The 19,416-nt window shown below is 46.3% G+C and overlaps 1 protein-coding gene and 1 long non-coding RNA gene across 5 annotated transcripts; one reads left to right on the top strand and one right to left on the bottom strand.

Moving 5' to 3' along the window:
• Positions 1–1,502: 1,502 nt before the first annotated feature.
• TSPY3 (testis specific protein Y-linked 3) lies at positions 1,503–4,299 on the bottom strand. Of its 4 annotated transcripts, none has more exons than XR_949063.3 (6): positions 3,768–4,299; positions 3,083–3,160; positions 2,843–2,954; positions 2,596–2,734; positions 2,408–2,500; positions 1,503–1,713 (listed from the first exon to the last, which is right to left on the bottom strand). XR_949063.3 is itself a non-coding variant. In XM_005272742.5 (6 exons), exons 1-5 carry the CDS (start codon positions 4,251–4,253, stop codon positions 2,438–2,440), a joined length of 885 nt encoding a protein of 294 aa, XP_005272799.1. In that variant the 5' UTR covers positions 4,254–4,299; the 3' UTR covers positions 1,503–1,713; positions 2,408–2,437. The 4 variants fall into 4 exon arrangements, 3 of the variants coding, with proteins under 3 accessions (XP_005272799.1, NP_001071165.2, XP_011542306.1); XM_005272742.5 differs by having other exon boundaries at positions 2,596–2,741; NM_001077697.2 differs by having other exon boundaries at positions 2,408–2,489; positions 2,596–2,741.
• A 2,612-nt stretch (positions 4,300–6,911) lies between these two features.
• Positions 6,912–12,529, top strand: FAM197Y6 (family with sequence similarity 197 Y-linked member 6). Its single transcript, NR_145469.1, has 4 exons — positions 6,912–7,013; positions 7,100–7,245; positions 8,756–8,914; positions 12,470–12,529. It is a non-coding gene; the product is annotated as a family with sequence similarity 197 Y-linked member 6 (long non-coding RNA).
• Positions 12,530–19,416: the final 6,887 nt, after the last annotated feature.

The following is a 19,416-nucleotide window of genomic DNA, read 5'->3' as shown; positions in this document are numbered from 1 at the left end:
TGTTTTCAGAATAATTTGCTTAGAACACCTGTTTCTCCTGTGTTTGTGGGTCAGGGGGACGGTAGTCAGAGGAGGACAAGACTCCCGCTCCAGAGCTTCAGAGGTCTGCATAGGAGCAGGGACAAAACCGGGCGATAGATTTTCAAAGCTCAACTGCTTTGACACCGAGCAGGAGGGGTAGAATGCATATTGCAGGCACCACAACAGATTCAGGAACTTTGACTGTCAAACCCTCTTCCCTGAAACAACATAGCTCTTCTCACAGAAGCTGTGCTGACCAGAGTCTATACGGGACAGCAATGTTAGCACTCTAGTAGCGTGTGGTCAACATGGATGCTCGTGTTGGAACTGTTTCATCTGGGAACAGGAAAGAAAGTTCTGCCTCCGACACTGAAATCCTCCTGCCCCATCCTTGACAGAGGCAACCCCTTGTCTTGTGCAGACACACGTGTTCCTGGGAAGCAGCCTCCCACTCGCGAATGAAAGCTGTATGTTTTGTCCTCCTGTGTGAGGCTTGCAAAACATATTCCGCAACTATATTCGCTTTACGTTCTAAACCTTAGGCAAACTATGCTGAAGAGGCCACAGAAAATTTAGGGGCCCTGGGCTCCAGATACAATCTGCAGTGCCAATCACGAGGGAGAATAGAGCCTCACTAGACTTTGCAAGAGCACAAAATGCACTCGTACTGTTGTTAGCTACATACGTTATTGGCTCCTCACCTAACACAGAATCTTGGAGAAAAGCTTAAAACAACTAAAGATGTAAACATCAACAAGAGTGTCCATATCCTGGGTCATCAAGTGACAAGAGAGTCCATGGATGGATTCTCCAACAATCTTATATTCCACTAATCCACCCCCTTTCCCCTCACTTCTGTAAGTTTCTGTTTTCCCTTAGTCATCTCTGCCAAAAGCGTATGCTGAATGCCTTCCCACATGCCTCTGTCACCTTTCCCACAGTCCCTCCATACACCTTACATGCCCATTTCTTCTCACGTTGATGTTTCAGAAGTCCTGAGAGGCTGATTGTCCCAGAAAAGGATCATGCATTCACCTTTAAAAGAACATGTGGATTCAACACGAAAGCGAACTTTAAGATTTCCATCATCCTGTGCTTAGCTACTGTGTATGATGATACCCAAAATGAAGGATTTTGGAGGTCCCAGCAAACTGGGCCCTGGAAACCCAGTAACCCCTTTCCTTGAACTATCTCTGCTTCCACAGGACGAAGTCAGCCTCCAACTAAGCTGTCTTTTGCTTTTACCTCTCCCACTCTGTCCTGTAGGAAGAATCCCAACACATCCCACACCCATTCACTCTACAACTTTAGAGGCCCAGCTCCAACGCAGACTGGTTATTTCCATGAAGAGAATAAAGCACGTGGATTGATCAATTCATTATGACACCCGAATAAAGTGGATAAACATACACACACACACACACACACACACACACACAAACACAAAGACACACACACACACACAGACACAGAGTCACACATCCTTGAGAATGTTTATTTTTCATTCCATACAATCCACATTTACCCCCTCTTCCTGAATTTTTGTGACTCGATCTCTTTTTCCTTTAGTTCCTGTGCATAAGACCATGCTGAGTACTGCCGTCCTGCATATGGCTGTAACTTTTTAGGAGTTCTGCTGTATTAGGTAAAATCTGATGCTCCATCATATTCAACTCAACAACTGGGAGTCCCCTAGAGAAACACAAACTCATGTTAAAACGCATTTTCTCTGAGCCATACTTTGAAATGTTTCAATTGTGGGGCCCGCTGAGAAAAGGATATCCCTTCCCCATTTGTGATCCCTTAAACTTCCTCCTACCACGTGTTACAAACTGTTCTGCGCAATCCCTGCCCCATTCCCAGTATTGTCTGTGAGGGGAGTCAGCTAACAAGATGCACTGGGCCCTAAAAGCACACACAAGTCTGATGGGGCAACAGCTTAAGGAAATCCATCAATCTAAACAGTCCTTTGTGGTTTGGGGCAAGGATGACCAGGACGCACATTCAGGGAGCCCAATCTCATGGGGTTGGTGGGATGACTGCCGGTGGGGTTGACAGCCGTGGAATCAAGTGCCACAGACTGAACTGAATGATTTTCAGCTTTACTTCTCATTGATTCTGGAAATGGACGATTCTTCACTGGGCTTAAGACTCCACAGCTATCACCCGCTTTGCAGTGCAGTCTCTAACGTGCCTTTTCAGCCCAATGCCATGAACGTCCTGGATTCTGTCACTCTCTGTCTTCCTCTCAAGGAATTTCTACATGTACGAAAGGAGCCTCAATTTCTACATTTCTGAAATGAGCACCCAGGCTCCCTGAATAGGCAGGTGTGTCAACCCCCTTATACTGGGCATCAAACAGCTCCAGTGCCAACTAACGGCTCACCTGACGTCTCTGTTCCCTCTTCAGGTGGCTTCATCCTCTTGTAGTATTGCAGGGGATTGCGCCACAGGTCCTTACATAGGATCTGTCAGGGGACTCAATCGGGAAAGGCCTCATCAGGGCTCAGAAAGGTGACCCAAGCAGCTGGGAACACACGGGGTCATTCCTCATGTTTCCCAGTGAGGACTCACCTCAGCAATCTTGTTAGATCCTGCGAAGTTGTGGTCAGAGAACCAGTTGAAGAAGTTAAGGCTGCTGTTGTGGTGTCTGCGGCGATACGCCTCCACTTCATAATCCGGATACCACTCAATTGGAGTGGAATGAGAAGCCCTGTATTCTACAGAGACAGGAGTTTTTGTGGGAAGGGGGCTGGATCCCGTTGGCAATGATCCACCCACCATCTTCCTTCCACTACCCATCCTGGGAGCCACCTGTCACCTGTGATGTTCACCAGATATTCCTTGGTAATCACTTTATTCTGGAAGTAGGGGTTACTCCGAAAGAACAACATGATCTTGCAGAGATGAACAGGATGCTTCTCTTCTTCCACCTGTCAGGACAAGGTGGAGAAAGCTTAGATAGGTTTTCGGGTGAGGTGCTCACTCTTGCTTACAGGAATGAATTATTTCCCTTACCCTCCCCCGCTAAACCCTCCAGCCCCAGTCTTCCTGGCCTCACCTCCAGGCTGACCATGTAGCTCAGCATGTCTTCATCTTCGTCAGTGATCAGGGCTGACATCTGGGGGTGGTTTGCAATCTGATTTAGGTCAAAGAGACTTTACACACGATGGAAGGGAAAGCGAGGAGCAACAGGGAAGAAGGCCTAAGAGCACCCAGAGGCTGGGGTAGGGGATTTCTCAGATCTGCTTCCATGTATGATCTCCTTTCGCCTCCCCCTCCCCGTAAACTAAGGCCTCCTGTGTTCACAGAGGGTGTATGATTCTGAGGCTGACTGCACTGACATGGGGAGGCGCGATTTGCAGAGACTTGCTGGTGTCTGAGGAGTGGCAGAATCTGCTTATAGCCGAAGACGCCCAGTCCCAGATCGGACTAGCAAGGGGCAGCAATCACACTCCCTTAAAAATAGCTTCATTCACTGAAAAACCTCTTCCGCTCTGAACTCGCTTCTGCTCTTCAAAAAGATGCCCCAAACGTCTGCTGCTCGGCATCACCAAGGGTTTCTCTGCCGCATGCAGGACAATAGTACCCACGCCTGCTCCGGCTTTCCACAGCCACATTGGTCCGTGGCAACTCCCCTTTGTTCCCCAAAGAGTCACATCGACGCCGAGCTGCCCATCGGTCACTTACACTTCCCCGAGAGCACCTCTCCACTAGAAAGGCCGAAGAAACACTGAGAAGGATACAACATTGGCCCAGAAGCCAGGGACGCTCTGGATGACGGCGCCTCTGCGGTCTAGGTGGGGCTTGCGCCTCCGCTCCATCTTTTCCCGCTGCCGAGAAAAGGCCTTCCTGGCTTGGGCATTAACCGGCTCCAGCTCCACCTGAACGGCCAGCAGCTCCTCCAGTGCAGACTCTGGGGTCATGGGCCCAGGGCCAGGCACAGCCTGCTGTGCCCGCTGGGCCTCCTCCCGCCGCTCCACGAGGCCCTCCTCCTCCGCCACCACCTCCACCTCCGCCATTATGTCATCCAACAGCAGCACCGCCTCCTCCCCCAAAGCCGCCTGCTCACTCTCCACCCCGGCCGCCCCCTCCTGTACAGCCTCCATCCTGAAGGCGGTGCCCTCCTTGGCACTCGCACACACCAAGGCCTGTGCTGCCCGACCCACGCCACAGAAACCCTGCCGCAGCCTCTCTGGCACCCGGTAGGTCAGCGAGCCCTCAGGGCGCATGCGCCGGGCTTCCAGGCGCCCCCTAAGGGACTGCGCGCGAAGGGCCGGGGGGCCGCACCCAGGCCGACTTCCTCCCGTCGTGGCCAGTCAATGGGAGGGCGGTGGGCGTCTCCCTGGGCGGCACAGCCACTGGCGGGCCTGCATCTCCAGCCCCCCCACCCCCCGCCTTCCCTGCCCAAGCCTCCTCCGAGAAGCCCTTGGAGCTTGTGCCGGGTAGCTAGGCATCCGGGCACACGCGGGCTGCGTGGCCTTTGGAATTGTGGGCATGGCAGCCCTGTGCCCTGACATCCTCAGTGTGGCAAGCCATGAACATCTCTATGTGTCATGAACACAGGAAACATCTCTCTTCGTTAGGCAGGCCAGGTAGATGGTACGGAGGTAATACAGCAGATGCAGAGAACTCTCTCTGGTTGCTGGGGCTAGGGCGGCAGGGGTGTCCTGGGGGAAGTGATCGGGGCGGGCACGTGGGAGGAAAGTCGCCTGCCGGTGCTGAGGTGGAATTGATCTGCTGTAGAGGCCAGAGCCCCGGCACACACTCTCACAGGTCGAGGCAAATAGAGGCTCCGAGTACCATGCTTCCTCCCTGAGGATGCTGTACTCCAAGGAGCATTCCAAAGGGCCTCTTGTCCTATGCCCTGGGCACACCAGAGGCCAGCCGCCAGGGTTGGCCATTGTCGGCCTGCGCGCACGCTGTTGTGCGCTGCCTTGACGACCCAGAGGCTCCCGCACCCGCAGCAGCGGTTGCGGTGCCTGTTGGTGGGGCTCTGCAAGCCCAGGGCCGGGGCCTCTGGCTCCCGAGCTCCTGTGCGCAGTTGAGCCTGCTGGGGACCGGAGCCCTTTGGCCAGTGCGGGATCTGCGGGTCCAGCGGAGCTCCTCAGGAAACCTGGGTCCACGTAGGTGTGGGACCAGGTTCACAGCAGGGCGACGCCCGTGGGTCTTGCAGGGAGCGGGTCTGCTGGGGAGCGGGCCCCCAGAGCCTACGGGTGCGGGGCATGGGCTGGGCTGGGCTGGGCTGCGCAGGCCCAGGGTCTGTGGGAGCACCCAGGAGAAAACCGTGTTCAGGCTGGAGGCAATGCTGGAGAGGACGGCCGGGGTACAGAGCAAGGAGGCGGCCTTGGAAGAGGAGGCGGTGCTGAAGGTGGAAGACATCATGGCTGAGGTGGAGGTGGTGGTTGAGGTGGAGCCCGACGTGGGGTGGCAGAAGGAGGGCCAGCGGGCACAGCCTGGCCCTGGACCGAGCACACCGGGGCCGTCAATGGACTCGCTGGAGGTCCTTCACTTGGAGCTGGGCTCCGTGAATGCCCCAGGCCACAGAGCATCTCCGCCTTGTGAGCCAGAGCCATATCCTTGCGGCTGCCGATTTGGGACGGCGGGCAGCAGGGGATAGTCATCGGGCCTCGGGGGGTATGGGGGCTGTTTGGGGGGAGGAGCCAGGTGGGAGGCACGTGGGGTCAGCCAGGAGGCAGGGGATGGGGGACAGCGTGGGAGCCGAGGCCACGTTCCCGCAGCTGTGAGGGCAGCTCGCTTGTAGCAGCCCTGGGAGCACGTGGTAGGGAAGGGGAGCCAGGGCCAGCACTGACAAGGGAGAATCGCGGCGCCAAGGTCCCTTTGCGCACAGCCCAAATTCGAAGGACGCGTTTCCCTGGGAACGTCCCTGGAGGACGGGGAATCTGTATGCCATTACCAGCCATTGAACCACCCCTGCTCTCGGTGCCTGTTTCCAGCAGGCTCACCCCAGAAACGCAAGGTGCTTAAGACGGGTTCGCGGCGCATGGGGCTGCCGACCACCTGACGGCGGGCACCAGCTCCGCAGATGCGCATTCATCCAACTGCAGGCGCTGCACTCAAAGGCGTGTAGGCCCTGAGCCTGTATAACTTCCTCTGGACCCACGCAATTCCCTTGGAGAGCGCCAGGCACGACCCTGCTGTGGCTTCTAACTACAAGGCTTCCCTCAGGTGGACAGGCCCACCCCTCAGGGAGACTAGGATAAGAGGACACCACACACCCGGACATCAGCGGAGCATGTCCAGCACCCAGCACACAAAGGCCTCCTGCATCTCAGAAACTCAGAGAAGCAGCCGCCTCACACCACCCCCGGCCCCTCCCGTCCCTCAGCTGCAACCACCTGCCCACTTTTTCTGCCTCCCGTCTCTGGTCAGCCCAGGCCGTCTTGGCCGGGGTCCACCCACTCCAAAAACCACCACAGTTGTGGCGTTGCCTCCTCGCCAGACAGAGATAGAGGGCCAACAATGAAGGGTGACTGGCCAAATGTCTGGGAGATGGCCCTGTTCCACATTGTCTGTGTTCTTGCGAAATTGCAAGGCGTCACGAGGCTTGCCCACCCAATCCTCTGGAGAGTTCTTGCGCAGAGGTAGATTGTTTGGCACACGAGATGTCGGCGTGGGTCGGAAAGCATGCGGAAGTCCTGCTTTGCTACGTGATGGATTTGCAGGTCAGGCTGGGGAGCCTGGGTCTGTGGGAGGAGTCCAGTGTCTGAGTCAGTTTGAGGTCCCCCTGGGGACCAGGGTTGTCTCAGTGGGAGAGCTGGGAAGGGGAAACTCATGGTTCACTACAGCTAGTAGGCCACCTCAGCCCGGCTAGTTGAGATGGTCCCATTGAATCCATCCTCTTTCTCCTTGATCCGGCAGGTGGAGGAACTCAGCCATCCCGGTTACCGGTGGCAGGATGATTTCCTTTCATCCCAACCTTTATTTCCACAGTGAAATCATCATGAAGGAGCACTGTGTTGGCATCCTCGGTAAGGAATGCCTCCCAGCATGGTAGGGGAGCTGGTGTGTGGGAGGGTGGGACTGGCATGAACCTTCCTGACTCCTCTCCCTGCAGGCTACAGGGTGTCTCATTCCACTGCAGTCCAGCGGTTCTGGGATCACGAAGGTCAAGCCTCCAGCTGCAGGCAGTACACCTCCTACCTGAGCTCATTCAGCTGTTTGGCTGAACATGACTGCCCGGGTTTTGGCAGGATTGCTGAGGTGGGGTTCGCCGTGGGGCATCATGGGAAAGGACCTAGCTGGTCATTCCTTGGTCTCTGGGGAATTGGCTTTGAACTGTCACCTGAACTGTCCTGGACCCACTTCTGCAGTCCCCTAGATCATCAGCCAGGGCCTATGGCTCAATCCATTGCAGTTCTATCCCATGGAGAGAGGGTCAGCCCTAGAGGCGGAACAGAGAGGAGGCCAGGCGAGCAGCCTAGGGCTGGGAAGGGCTGGGAACTGAGAGGCCTTTTGACCTGGATCTGGGCCCCACATGGAGAACCCAAGGATCCGGGAGGAGACTGCAGTGAGCAATCCCAGGCAATCCGTGGGTTGGGGGAGAGAGGCCCATCAGGGACATGTAACACCCACATTTCAGGATCGGGGCACCTTAAGCCACTATGATGCATATGTGGCTAAAGTCAGTGGGTGACAAGCAGGGCTTAAGGGATAGCTGTCTCATCATTACTCGCCAGCTCCCTGCCCTGCGGTAAGACCTGCTACCACCTGGGGCTCATTTTGAGATCAACCAGGGCCCCCTTTTTCTCCACGAGGATGTCCACCTGAGGCCCACCTAGGTGTATGTCCTTTCACAGTGTTTCTCCCAGGCCAGTCATGTTTTGTTTCCATGACCCCGGCTGCCTTGACATGTGTAATCCTCTCTGCCATCCTCACTCCCGCTGCCCTGCCTTCCCATATAAGTTAGTCCACCTCACACGGAATCTGGAGGACCACACTGGGCTCCAGTGTGAGGCAATGTTTTATTTTCTTCAGGTACATGTATTTTAGGGCTACCTCCAGGGCTGGGAATGTGAAGAGATTGCCAAATGGCTGGGGACCTTCAGTGTGTGTCCAGGGAGGGAACCTGGCTGGGAATTAAGGCCCACCTGAGTAATGGTATGGACATCCAGTGTCAGTTATCTTGATAAAGGCCTGCTTTCTTACATCACCTACTATTAATATAAAAGTTAATTCCTTAGAATATTGAAAAAACAAATCTATGTATGAAGAAATATAATTTGTTCATAATTGTATGGAAAAAACTGCCGACTGATCCATTTTCCATTACAATTCTTATGGGAGACTTGAAGTGTTCGGCAAGTTTTAAGATGCATTTCTATTCGTCTACTCCTGCCAGTTTTTATGATCATTTTTGTAATACAAGGACATGGCCTCTGGAAAGTTTTTGAGGGACTTTCAGCTTCTTTTAGGGTAGATACTTGTAAATTTTGAATTGTTTTCCCCTGCGGTTCTTTTGAGGTTACTCTTTGTACTTTCTTTGGGGGGTGTTAAATTTGTTTTCTTGTTTCGCCCTTGTGGAACTTTCGTTTTCAAGGAATTGTGTGTGTGTGTGTGTGTGTGTGTGTGTGTGTGTGTGTGTGTGTTAGATATGGGAGTTAGCCTGTGAGCATGTTTTCGAATACGGATTTTTTTTTTACTTATCAATTTTGGGGGTGTATGTGTGTGTGTGTGTGTGTGTGTGTGTGTGTGTGTGTTTGTTTCTTTTCAGTTGGAGTCTCACTGTGTCATCCAGGCTGCAGTCAAGTGGCAAACTCTCAGATCACTGCAACCTCTCCCTCCAGCTTCAAAGGATTCCTCTGCCTGCTGATGCTGCTTTTCCCCCACATGAGGAGAACATGCAGACAGTTATAAAAAATTCTGTGCCTGGGTAGGTATGAAAATATAATTTCAATGAATGGTAAATTTCACAAATACAGTTTCACATTTGTATTTTGCAACATTTTGAAAATTTTAGTTGCTGACACATGAAATTCTGTGTTGACTTTCATGTTAAAGGTACACTTTTGAATCAATTTCAACAGTGACAACTAGCGAAGGCCAAGCGTTAGTTCAGGAAGCTGAAAGCAGTCGTTCTGTAAAAAAAACCATATTTATTGAAGGTATATTTAGAGAGATTTTAGAAGGCTTCAGTCAATATTTTTGTTTCTGTTGCTCTGGTGTTTTATCATACAGGGACCAGACTGTAGCATCAGTAGCTATAGTTACAAGGCTACCAAAGACTCAGTGCTATAGAAATTATTATTGTGGAAATTGGCAGCCTGGCTGTCTGTTTGAGGAGACTAGAGGACTTAGGAGTTTCCACCCAAAGTACAAGGGCCTGGTTTAGTGGGTGGCCTTCTTTTGCTGAAGTAGATAAGATCCAGGAGAAGGGTGGATTCACTGTAGTAGCCAGGGCTTTGAGACTGGTAAAGCTTATTTGTCTCCTAGTGCCATTGCCAGATATTGGTCTGTGCATAAAGGCACTTCCCGGACTCGCTGACTCCTGTAAATTCAAATGTAGAATTTAGATTTAAATCCCTATTCCAACTTCTTAAACTTAGATCTAATAGGTGGGTAATAAAATATGTATTCAGAAGAAAGGGAGACGTCAGGTAGGTATATAAGCAAATCATCCTGGTCAAATACCTTCAAAAATATTACTACAAAAAATTACTGAAGATTAAACCTTAAAAAAGTTATTTTAATTGGAGAAACAGAAAAAGGTTGGAGTCATTTTAAACCCTGAGGTGTAAAGGTACTGTTATTAGATTACAGGAATTATATACAATGAATAATTTGTGGGAAGAGCAGCATACTATCTCTTTAGTATGGCTAGAGATTCATAAGCCGTGTAAGAAAACTCAGAGATTGAGAAGAAAATGTTCTCAGGGATTTTGTTCTGTTATGAAAGACTTTTAAAATGGTTTCCTACTGATCAATGATTCACTTATATTTATCACTGAGGCATATGCTATATACCCTTCTATATAGGGATGAAGTTATAGTTTCTATCATGTAGATACAAAAACATGTGACTCTGTACCACATTTGCATTAGAGCCTTTGGCATGATTAATGAAGCAAACGGTGGAACTGTCTACGTCAGGTTACAGGTGGGCACAGCTGGAAGCTTCCGTCCCTTGCACTTTAACATTTCTGCATTCTCATCTGTCTCTCCTGGAAAGAAAACGGACTATAACTATCCTAAAGGACATATGTTACATGAAGACACTAAGTATTGAGATAAGACCATGAGTTGTCTTATCAGTGTCTTGGCATTACATTTATATGTATAACTTATACAAAAAATCCAGTTTATTTTATCACGATTACATATTACATCCCACATTTATGTATTTTATTATCTTTCCAGTGACTGTTTTGTTTTGTTTTGTTTTGTTTTGTTTTGTTTTGAAATCTCGTTCCACTCTGTCACTCAGTCTGGAATGCAGTGGCCTGATCTCAGCTCACTGCAACCTCCATCTCTTGGGTTCAAGGATTTTAAAAATTAGTAAAGAATTTTCAATTGAGTTAGCAGAAGTAAAAATAAACTTAAGTGGAAATAGAACAACAAAATTGTAAACACTATTTCTCAGCAATTCATAGATTATCATACTAGGAATTGAAATGTACTTAGAACTCAATGATACCGCCAATATTAAAGATTAAATCTGTGAGTAGCAAGAAAAGTGATATTACAATAGGAGTTTACAGACAAATATTTCTCTAATAACTTGAAAATTAATGTACTAGATATTTCAATAAAGAATTAGAAAAGAAACAACAGAATCAATTCTGAAAAACTAAAGTGTGGGAATAATGATGTAGACAAAATTAGTAAAACATACAAAGCTAACCTTTGCTTGTTGGAGAAATATAATAAATGATGCAACCGTCAGTCAAGTTTAGAAAAAAAGGGAGAAAACATAGATAAAACTAAGAATTTAAAAGGTACACAACCATAGATACAGCATAGATTAAGAAGCTAATAAGGAAATATCGTTAACACCTTAACCTACAAATTTGAAAACTTAGATCAAATAGACAGATATTTATAATCTGTCTCTATATATAGACATATATATCGCTTTCTATATATATTTTCATATTTATACATAATTTTTATATTTGTATCTTACATTTATATATATAATATATAAACATAAGCTATGTATATAGCTTAGTAAAATTGATACAAGAAGACATATATAATCTGTATAGTCTCATAAATGTCCAAGGAAATAAAGGATTCTTCCTAGAGATAAAACGCTAGGCTCAGATTTTTTTCCCCAGGCAGAGCATTTCAATATATATGAAGAATTCTATAGAATAAAAAAGGGAAAATCCTAAACTCATTGTGTGAAGCAAGCAGAACTTTGACGCCAACAAGACATAAACTGAGTGTAGAAAAAGATATGAAAATTAAGGCCATTCTCATTCCTGAAGCAAATCGTAAAATCCCAAATGTAACAAGATTTATGTGGATTCTTTGAGGGTTAGAAGGAAATTTCCTTCTGCCAGATCCTGCTACTCTGGGACAACCCACACACAAATTTATGTTTTGAGATTTTCTGTAATACCCATGCAATATGGAACTGGCTTGACAATCTGTGTGATAGCCAGCCTGTGGCCATGACTTCTCAGGGACACAAATCTTTTCTGTTTGCCTCCTTGTTCTGCTCAGCTCCAAGAGAACTTTGACCAAAGTTCCTTGAGCTTGGAAATAGGAATGGGTTTGCTTCTGTTTCACCCTTACTGTGAAGATACAGTCCGGTGGAATCCAGATCCACTGGGAGAGAGTCGGCTATTAAACTCTTTTCATGAGTAGTCCCTAGGCCTTGACTGGAGTCTTTCTTGAGATATGAGGCTAATAGTTCCTTCTTGGTCCACCACTTTTTGATATAATTAATGCTTCTTCTATTGGGAATTTTTAATTGTTTGGGAAGTGACATGGTTTGGTGTGTCTCCATTCAAATCTCAGCTTCAATTGTATCTCCCAGAATTCCCTCGTGTTGCGGGTGGGACCCAGGGGGAGGTAATTGAATCATGGGGGTCGGTCTTTCTCATGCTATTCTTGTGACAGTGAAGAAGTCTCACGGGATCTGATGGGTTTTTCAGGGGTTTCTGCCTCAGGTTCTTCCTCATTCTCTCTTGGCATTGCCATGTAAGAAGTGCCTTTATTCGTATACCATGATTCTGAGGCCTCCACAGCCATGTGGAACTGTCAGTCCAATTAAACCTCCTTTTATTCCCAGTTTCAGGTATGTCTTCTTCAGCAGCGTGAAAATGAACTAAGACAGGAGGTTTGGTCCAAATAACCTTGGCTTCCATGACAGAAGATAGAAGTTGCTGAAATGTTTAATCTTTTCTGTGGCAACCTTTTGCAGTGGGTCTTATTTTTCTCATTTTTTTTTTCTTGTTCTCTTCACCTTTGTTTCTCACAGGGTACTCTCGCTCTGTAGACCAGGCTGGAGCGCAGTCGCAGGATCTCAGCTCAACACATCCTCCGCCTCCCAGGTTCAGCCTCTGCAGTAGCTGGGATTACAAGCATGCATCACCACGCTCAGCTAATGTTTTGTATTTTTAGCAGAAGCCAGGCTTCACCATGTTGGCCAGGCTGCTCTCCTACTACAGATCTCAGGTGACCCGCCCGACTCAGCTTCCCAAAATCCAAAGTGCTGGGAATACAGGTGTGAGCCACCGAGCCCAGCCAACTCCAGTACTTTTTACCTAAGCCAGTGGACGAGTGGAGTTGCCTTTATTTTTTTTTTTTTCTTTTTTCAGTCATGGTCTCGCTGTGTCATCCAGGCTGGAGTGCAGTAGTCTGATCTTGGCTTACTATACAATCTCTGCCACCCATGTTCAGGTGGTTCTCCTGCCTCAGCCTCCCAAGTAGCTGGGACCACAGGAAAGTGCCACTAGGTCTGGCTAATTTTTGTATTTTTGGTAGAGACAGCTTTTTGCCATGTTGCCCATGCTGGTCTCCAACTCCTGACCTCAAGTGACCCACCAACCTCGGCCTCCCAAAATGTAGAAATTACAACAAGAGCCACGAAGCCTGGCCTGGAGTTGTGGCTTTTTGACATAAGAAATCTGTGGAGGGAAAAGCTTGGTTTGTGGGAGCACCCGAGCTCAGTTTGGCTCAAAGGTTTGGGATACCTATTATTGAGTGGCAGTGATGGTATGTTGTTAATGTACAATATGTTCCTGTATATAGCATACGTCTATGCTCATCAGATATTTTCAGGTAAAAAAAAGATAGTCTTTCCAGTAGTTTGAGCCATTATAGCAATTTCCACCAGGGGATTTCAAAGTCCAATTCCAGTTGTGGGCAACAGTGATTAACATAATGGTAATTAATGAGAAGAGATTTTGAGACGTCCAGCCACGTTTCCATGTCAGTGCCTTGTTTGCAGTATTATGAAGAAAGAGTGCATTGGACTAGATACTAAGAAAAACATTGAATTATTTTTCTTGCCTCTATAACATCAAAGGACAATTAGAGATATAGAAACTATGGAACATTTCACAGCATGGCTTGACATTTCACTGAACTTTTATCCTTTTAACCATGTACAAAGTTTGTTACCTATGCAAAGGTAGGACTGCAAAAGGAAGACAGAGGTGGAGTCAGAGGTCACAATCCACAGCAAGGTGACACTCTTGTTGATCGCACCTTGAAAGCCAAATTAGAGCGAGAATTAACTTTCCGGTTGCCGTAAGAGAACAAGGAGAATGAAGCTACCAGCAGTTAACAGTATTGGATTAATTGAAATGAAGGTGGACAGAGTTTTTTGGCTTTCCATCAAATTGAGTAAAGAAAAGGTAACCGCTTATCTAATTTCACACACATACAATTATGGATTAATTAAAAGATTACACAACCCATATATTATGGGTTTCTCATATAAGTGTATATATACATGGGCAAACTCACAGTGTGCCAGTATGTGTCTATATCCAAATATATACAAATCCATGTCCAACAGTTAGCAAGTGAGAAATTCTCTTCCATTTCACCATTCCCTTTCCTAGAATTTTTTCATAAATATAATTTTTCCATATATTTGAAGCCTACTCTCTGGAGGCATGTAATGCATGCATGCAGTAAACCTGTGCGATATCACAATGTTGGTGTCAGAGAAAACTATAACACCGATGTTATAAAAGATTAATTGTGAGGAGAAAGTTATGCTTCGCATTACTACAAATACACAAGTATGATTTCATCCAAAGCTGAAATCAGTCAATATAATTTGTTTTTAATGTTTTATTTAAAATCCTTAATTTCAACAGGATTACTCAAGAAAAATAACGTTATTGGTATTAAATAATGTTGATGTATTCCCTTTAATTGTTGATTATTTAAAATGTCAGTAAAATAGTAAATGGCACTGTACAATGTAGTTTCATGAAGCATTCTTTATAGTTTTCATAAAATTGATAGTCTCCATGGAATATTTTAAGACTGAGGAAGTTCCATATATCATTTGATTGTACTTTCACTTTATTACTTGCTTGCATGTCATAACTGATGGAAATAAAACTATGTATATTTACAAATATGAAAAACATGGATTTTTGTTTACGTTTTCTAGTGAGACACAGTTACCAATAATTTTATCTATATAGGAAAATTTTTACAAACCCAAAGTTCTAATGTTTCTTTTCTTTGAAGTTTCGTATTTCAGTCTAGGTATGTAATGGAATTGGCTGTGATCATTCTTTGATTTCACTGTTATTTGTGAGTTTCTGATATGCTTTTAGGAATGAATAGAGTTTAACGCTTGCTTTCTTCTTCTTCCTCTACCTTTGGACCTGTATATGCGATGTCTGCAGTAATGTGCAGTGCTATCTGACATACGGTTGCTGAAAGATACAAGCATATATAGAATTCTTCGTTTCAGTGAATCTTTAGGAACAGACAAGTAACCTGAGAGATAATTACGGTATGAATGTAAGCAAGCAGTTTATCATAGAGGTACAATAAGGGTGAAAATAAATTTAAAAATACATGCCTCATCCAAAACATGAGGTAGTAAAAATGAAAAAATTTAAGTTGGCATAAAGAACACTTTAAAAGTTCTGATTCTTTCTGGTGAGAGCAAGGAGCTCAGAAACCATGAGAAAGTCCTTCAAAGCTGCATGTTGGATTTGCAGGTCAGGATGGAAAGCCTGGGTCTGGGGGAGGGTGCTAAGGTCCTGGTCAGGTTGAGGTCCTTCTGGGGCTCAGGTGTGTCTCAGCGGGAAAGCTGGGAAGGGGAAACGCATGCTTCACCCCGGCTAGAATGCCACCTCAGCCCACCTAGATGAAATTGCCCCTTCACAGCCCTGTTTCTCCTTCTTGGACAGGCAGGTGGAGGAACTCGGCCACCCTGAATACAAGGGGTAGGAAGAAGTTTGCCTTTCATCACAACATTTACTTCGGAAACAAAGTGATGACTAAGGAGTATTGCGTTGGCATCCTCCCTGAGGAGTAGAGGGGGTAGTACCTCGGGAGCTGGGCCTGGCGTGCGCCTTCCTGACTCGTCTCCCTCCAGGATACAGGGCGACTGGCTCCACTGCAGTCCAGTGGTTCTAGGGTCATGCAGGTGAAAGCCCGAGTTTCCCGCAGGTCACTGCCTGAGCTTCTTCAGCTGGTTGTCTGACTGTGAGGGCCCAGGTTACGGCACGATTGCTGAGGTGGGGCAGCTATGGGGCATCATGGCAAAGGACCTTCTTCGACATTCCTTGGCATCGGAGGAATTGGCTTTGAACCAGAACCTGACCTGTCACGACCAATTTGCCCAGTCCACCAGATCATCAGCCAGGGCCTGTGGCTCTATATTCTGCAGCACTACCCAAGGGAGTTAGGCCCTCAGAGAGGGAACAGAGAAGAGGCCAGGGAAGCAGCCCAGGGCTGGGGGTTGACAGGCCTGTGGGTCCTGGAGTTAGGACACACATAGAGAAGCCAAGGCTCAGGGAGGAGACTGCAGTAAGGAAACTCAGGCCATCATGGGCTGGTGGAGAAATGCCCATCAGGGAACTGTGGTACCCACATTTCACGATGGGGGAACCGTAATCTGCTTAATAGGCATAAGTAGCTAAGGTCAATGGGTGGGAAGCCAGGGTCAAGAGATAGCTCCCTCATCATCCCTTGCTAGCTACTTCCCTGTCCTGAGGCTTGCTTCTACCTGGGGTTCAGTTTGGGCTCAACCAGGGATCTCTCACCCTCCACACAGATGCCCACCTGAGGCCTCTCTAGGTCTGCGTCCTCCCAGAATGACTCTCCCAGGCCTGCTAAGTACCGTTTGGATGACACCACGCTCCACTGACATACTTGGTTCCCTCCGCCATCCTCATTCACCCAGCAACTCCCCACCCCAAAAAAGGCAGGCCACCGCACAGGGAATCTGGAGGACCACACAGGGCTCACAGGGGAGGAAATGTGAAGAGATGGCAAAACAGAACAGGACATTCCGTGTGTTTCCAGAAGGCAATCTGGCTGGATATTAAGGCCCACCTCAGTATTGGTGAGGACACCCAGTGTCTCTTGGCCCTGAGCTTGTGCACACAAACACGCACATTGTCTAAACGGCATTGACATCACTACTACCTGAGTCATCCTCAGATTCTATACAACCCCTGTAAAAATATCAATGACACATTCTTCTTAGAAAAACAATCTGGGAATCCCAAATTTGCTATGAAATGGCAGAAGATCCTGAAAACCCAGAGCAATCCAGTAAAAAGCACAAAGCTGGAGCCACCACACTACCTAACTTCATGATATACTACTACAAAACTTTTTGTACCAAAATACAATAGCACTGGCAGAAAAGCAGAGACTAGAGCTTAGGAAAAACAACAGGAGCCCAGAACTAAGTCACTGCATTTGCAGCTCACAGCCTTTTCCCAAAGAAGCAAGAACGCCCAATGCAAAATCAAGTATCTTCTATAAACTAGGTTGGGGAAATCTGAATAGCCACACAAAGGATTTTACAAGTGGATTATTTATCACCAAACTCCAGTGTCAGATGTGAAACGATAAAAATAGCAGAAGAGATCACAAGGAAGAAGCTCCATGGCGTCCATGTGTGCAATGATGGTCTCAAAGTGACTGCAAGAACACAGTAAACACTATCAAAAATAGAGAATGGAATCATATCAAACTAAAGTGCTTCACCACACCATAGAAAACTCAACATACAGAAGGGGCATCCTACAGGATGGGAGCAATGATTGGATCACCATACATCTGTTCATGGGGGAATAGTCACAGTACATAAGGAACTCCCAACAACTCAATAGCATGAAAACAAATGGGCGAAGGCTGCGAAGACTCATTTGTGAAACTGAGACATACAGTTGCCCAGAAGACACACTAAAAATTCCTCATTATCCCCAATCCATCACGAAAATGCAAATCAAAAACACAATGAGATTTCTTCTCACTTCAGTCAGAATGCATATTATCCGAAAGACAAACAAACAAAAAAAAAAAAAGAAAGAAAAGAAAACCCTAATCTCTGGTGAGGAGGCAGAGAAAACGAATTCCCTGCTCACTTTTGGGGAGAATGTAAATTAGTGCTGGCATTAAAGAAGCTTTATGGCTCTTATTTAAGTATAAACAGCCTTCAGAAATCTACAAGTAGAACCACCCACTATATGATCCAGCAAATCAGAATACCCGGGCACGCCCGCCAGTACACAGATCAGTATGTTGAAGCGGTGCGCGCACCCATGCAATTATTGCTGCACTCATTACATTTTTGCTGTAGCCAAAATGCGGAAGCAACCTGAGAGTCCCTCCATTGATAAGTGGATTAAAAAATGGGGCAAAAACGCATATGCGCAACGGAAATATGCGCTGCAATAAGAAATCAGGAAATCCTGCCAGTTGTGAGAATGTGTGGGAATCTGCTGAATGTGTGCATGCCATTCTGTTAAGTGACATAAGCCAGGTATCAGAAAGGAAAGTAGCACATGATCTCATTCTTATATGAAATCAAAAAAGCGGACTTCACAGAAGTAGTGACTCCAATGACTGCGGTGAAGAGGGTGCACTGACGAGATGCTGGATGAAGAACTCATACTTCTAGTTATAAAGGAGGAATAGGTTAAAAATATTTTCTTCAGCATGCTCACTATAACTAGTGGTAACATATTCTTTCTCTAAAAATATTCGAATACAGTGCAGGTCAAGTTTTTTCACAACAAAAATGACAACTATGTGAGGTCACACATATGTTGATTGGCTGGATGTATCCAATGCATAATGTATATGACCTGTTGAACATCACGCCTTAAGTTGTAAATATGTATCATTTCATATGACATTTTTTAAACAAACATACAATTTTTAAAATGCCTTAACAAAATAAATGCAAATAAAATATTTTATTATAAAGCAGTGCTTTTCTTTTCTAGCAAAGTCTTTTTCATGACACAGGAAAGAATGCAAGCCGTTTCGTAACTTGAGAAATAAATACATATGTGTACATGTATATATATACGTATATACATGTATATACGTATATAAATGTGCATATATACGTATATACATGTATATACGTATATATGTGTGTACATAGGTATTCTTATATAGGTATATATATATATATATATATATATATATATATATATATATATATATATATATATGAAAATCCCAATGAATGCTGATGATGAGTTGAAAGATAGAAATTCCAGGCACAGAGGCTATAGTCCATGAATTGAAACCTTCAGTGCATGTTTCAAAACAAGACGTGAGGAGGAGGAAGAAAAAAGCAAAAAACACAAAGCCATGGCAGGGCCATGGGTCACACCTGTCATCCCAGCACTTTGATAAGCTGAGGTGGGAGGATTGCCTGCACTCAGGAGTTCCAGATGAGCCTGGGGCAACATGGACCCACATTCAAAAAGTAAGTATTTAGTTAATTAATACATAGCTTGGAGGGGTGGCATGCACCTGTACTGCCAGGTGTGTGAGAGTCTGAGTTGACAGGATCACATGGGTGTGTGGTGCCTGGGCTGCAGTGGGCTGAGATCGTGGGGCTGCTGTCCAACCTAGAAGACAGAGTAAGACCCATTCTCGGAAAACAAACAAAAAAACAGTCACATTAGGTAAATTAAAACTATGTAGTGTGAGGAGAATCAAAATAAACGAAACATCATTAGAGCCTACGCGATGTGATGAAGGAAACCAGCTTTCACATAATAACAGCCCCGGCTGGGGAGAACAATGAGAAAGGGCAGAGAGAACCCTGTAAATAATACCACGCCAAATTCCCCAAATGAGTTAAAACACATAAAAGTACGAAGAGTGCTTCTTTTCAATTCAATGCCCTTGAATTCAGAATTAGAAAGTAAACCCAGATAGAGAATAGAAACATAGACGATACAGATGGAG

Source organism: Homo sapiens, chromosome Y (assembly GCF_000001405.40).
Source record: "Homo sapiens chromosome Y, GRCh38.p14 Primary Assembly".
NCBI lineage: Eukaryota > Metazoa > Chordata > Mammalia > Primates > Hominidae > Homo > Homo sapiens.
This window is presented reverse-complemented; position numbering and strand designations above follow the sequence as displayed.

Coding starts and splice junctions, on each gene's coding strand:
- TSPY3 (NM_001077697.2), bottom strand. CDS start 4,253: ATGCGCCCTGAGGGCTCGCTGACCTACCGGGTGCCAGAGAGGCTGCGG. Junction 3,161..3,767: donor CTGGCTTCTGGGCCAATGTT/GTATCCTTCTCA, acceptor GACCTAAATCAG/ATTGCAAACCACCCCCAGAT. Junction 2,742..2,842: donor ATATCTGGTGAACATCACAG/GTGACAGGTGGC, acceptor CTGTCTCTGTAG/AATACAGGGCTTCTCATTCC.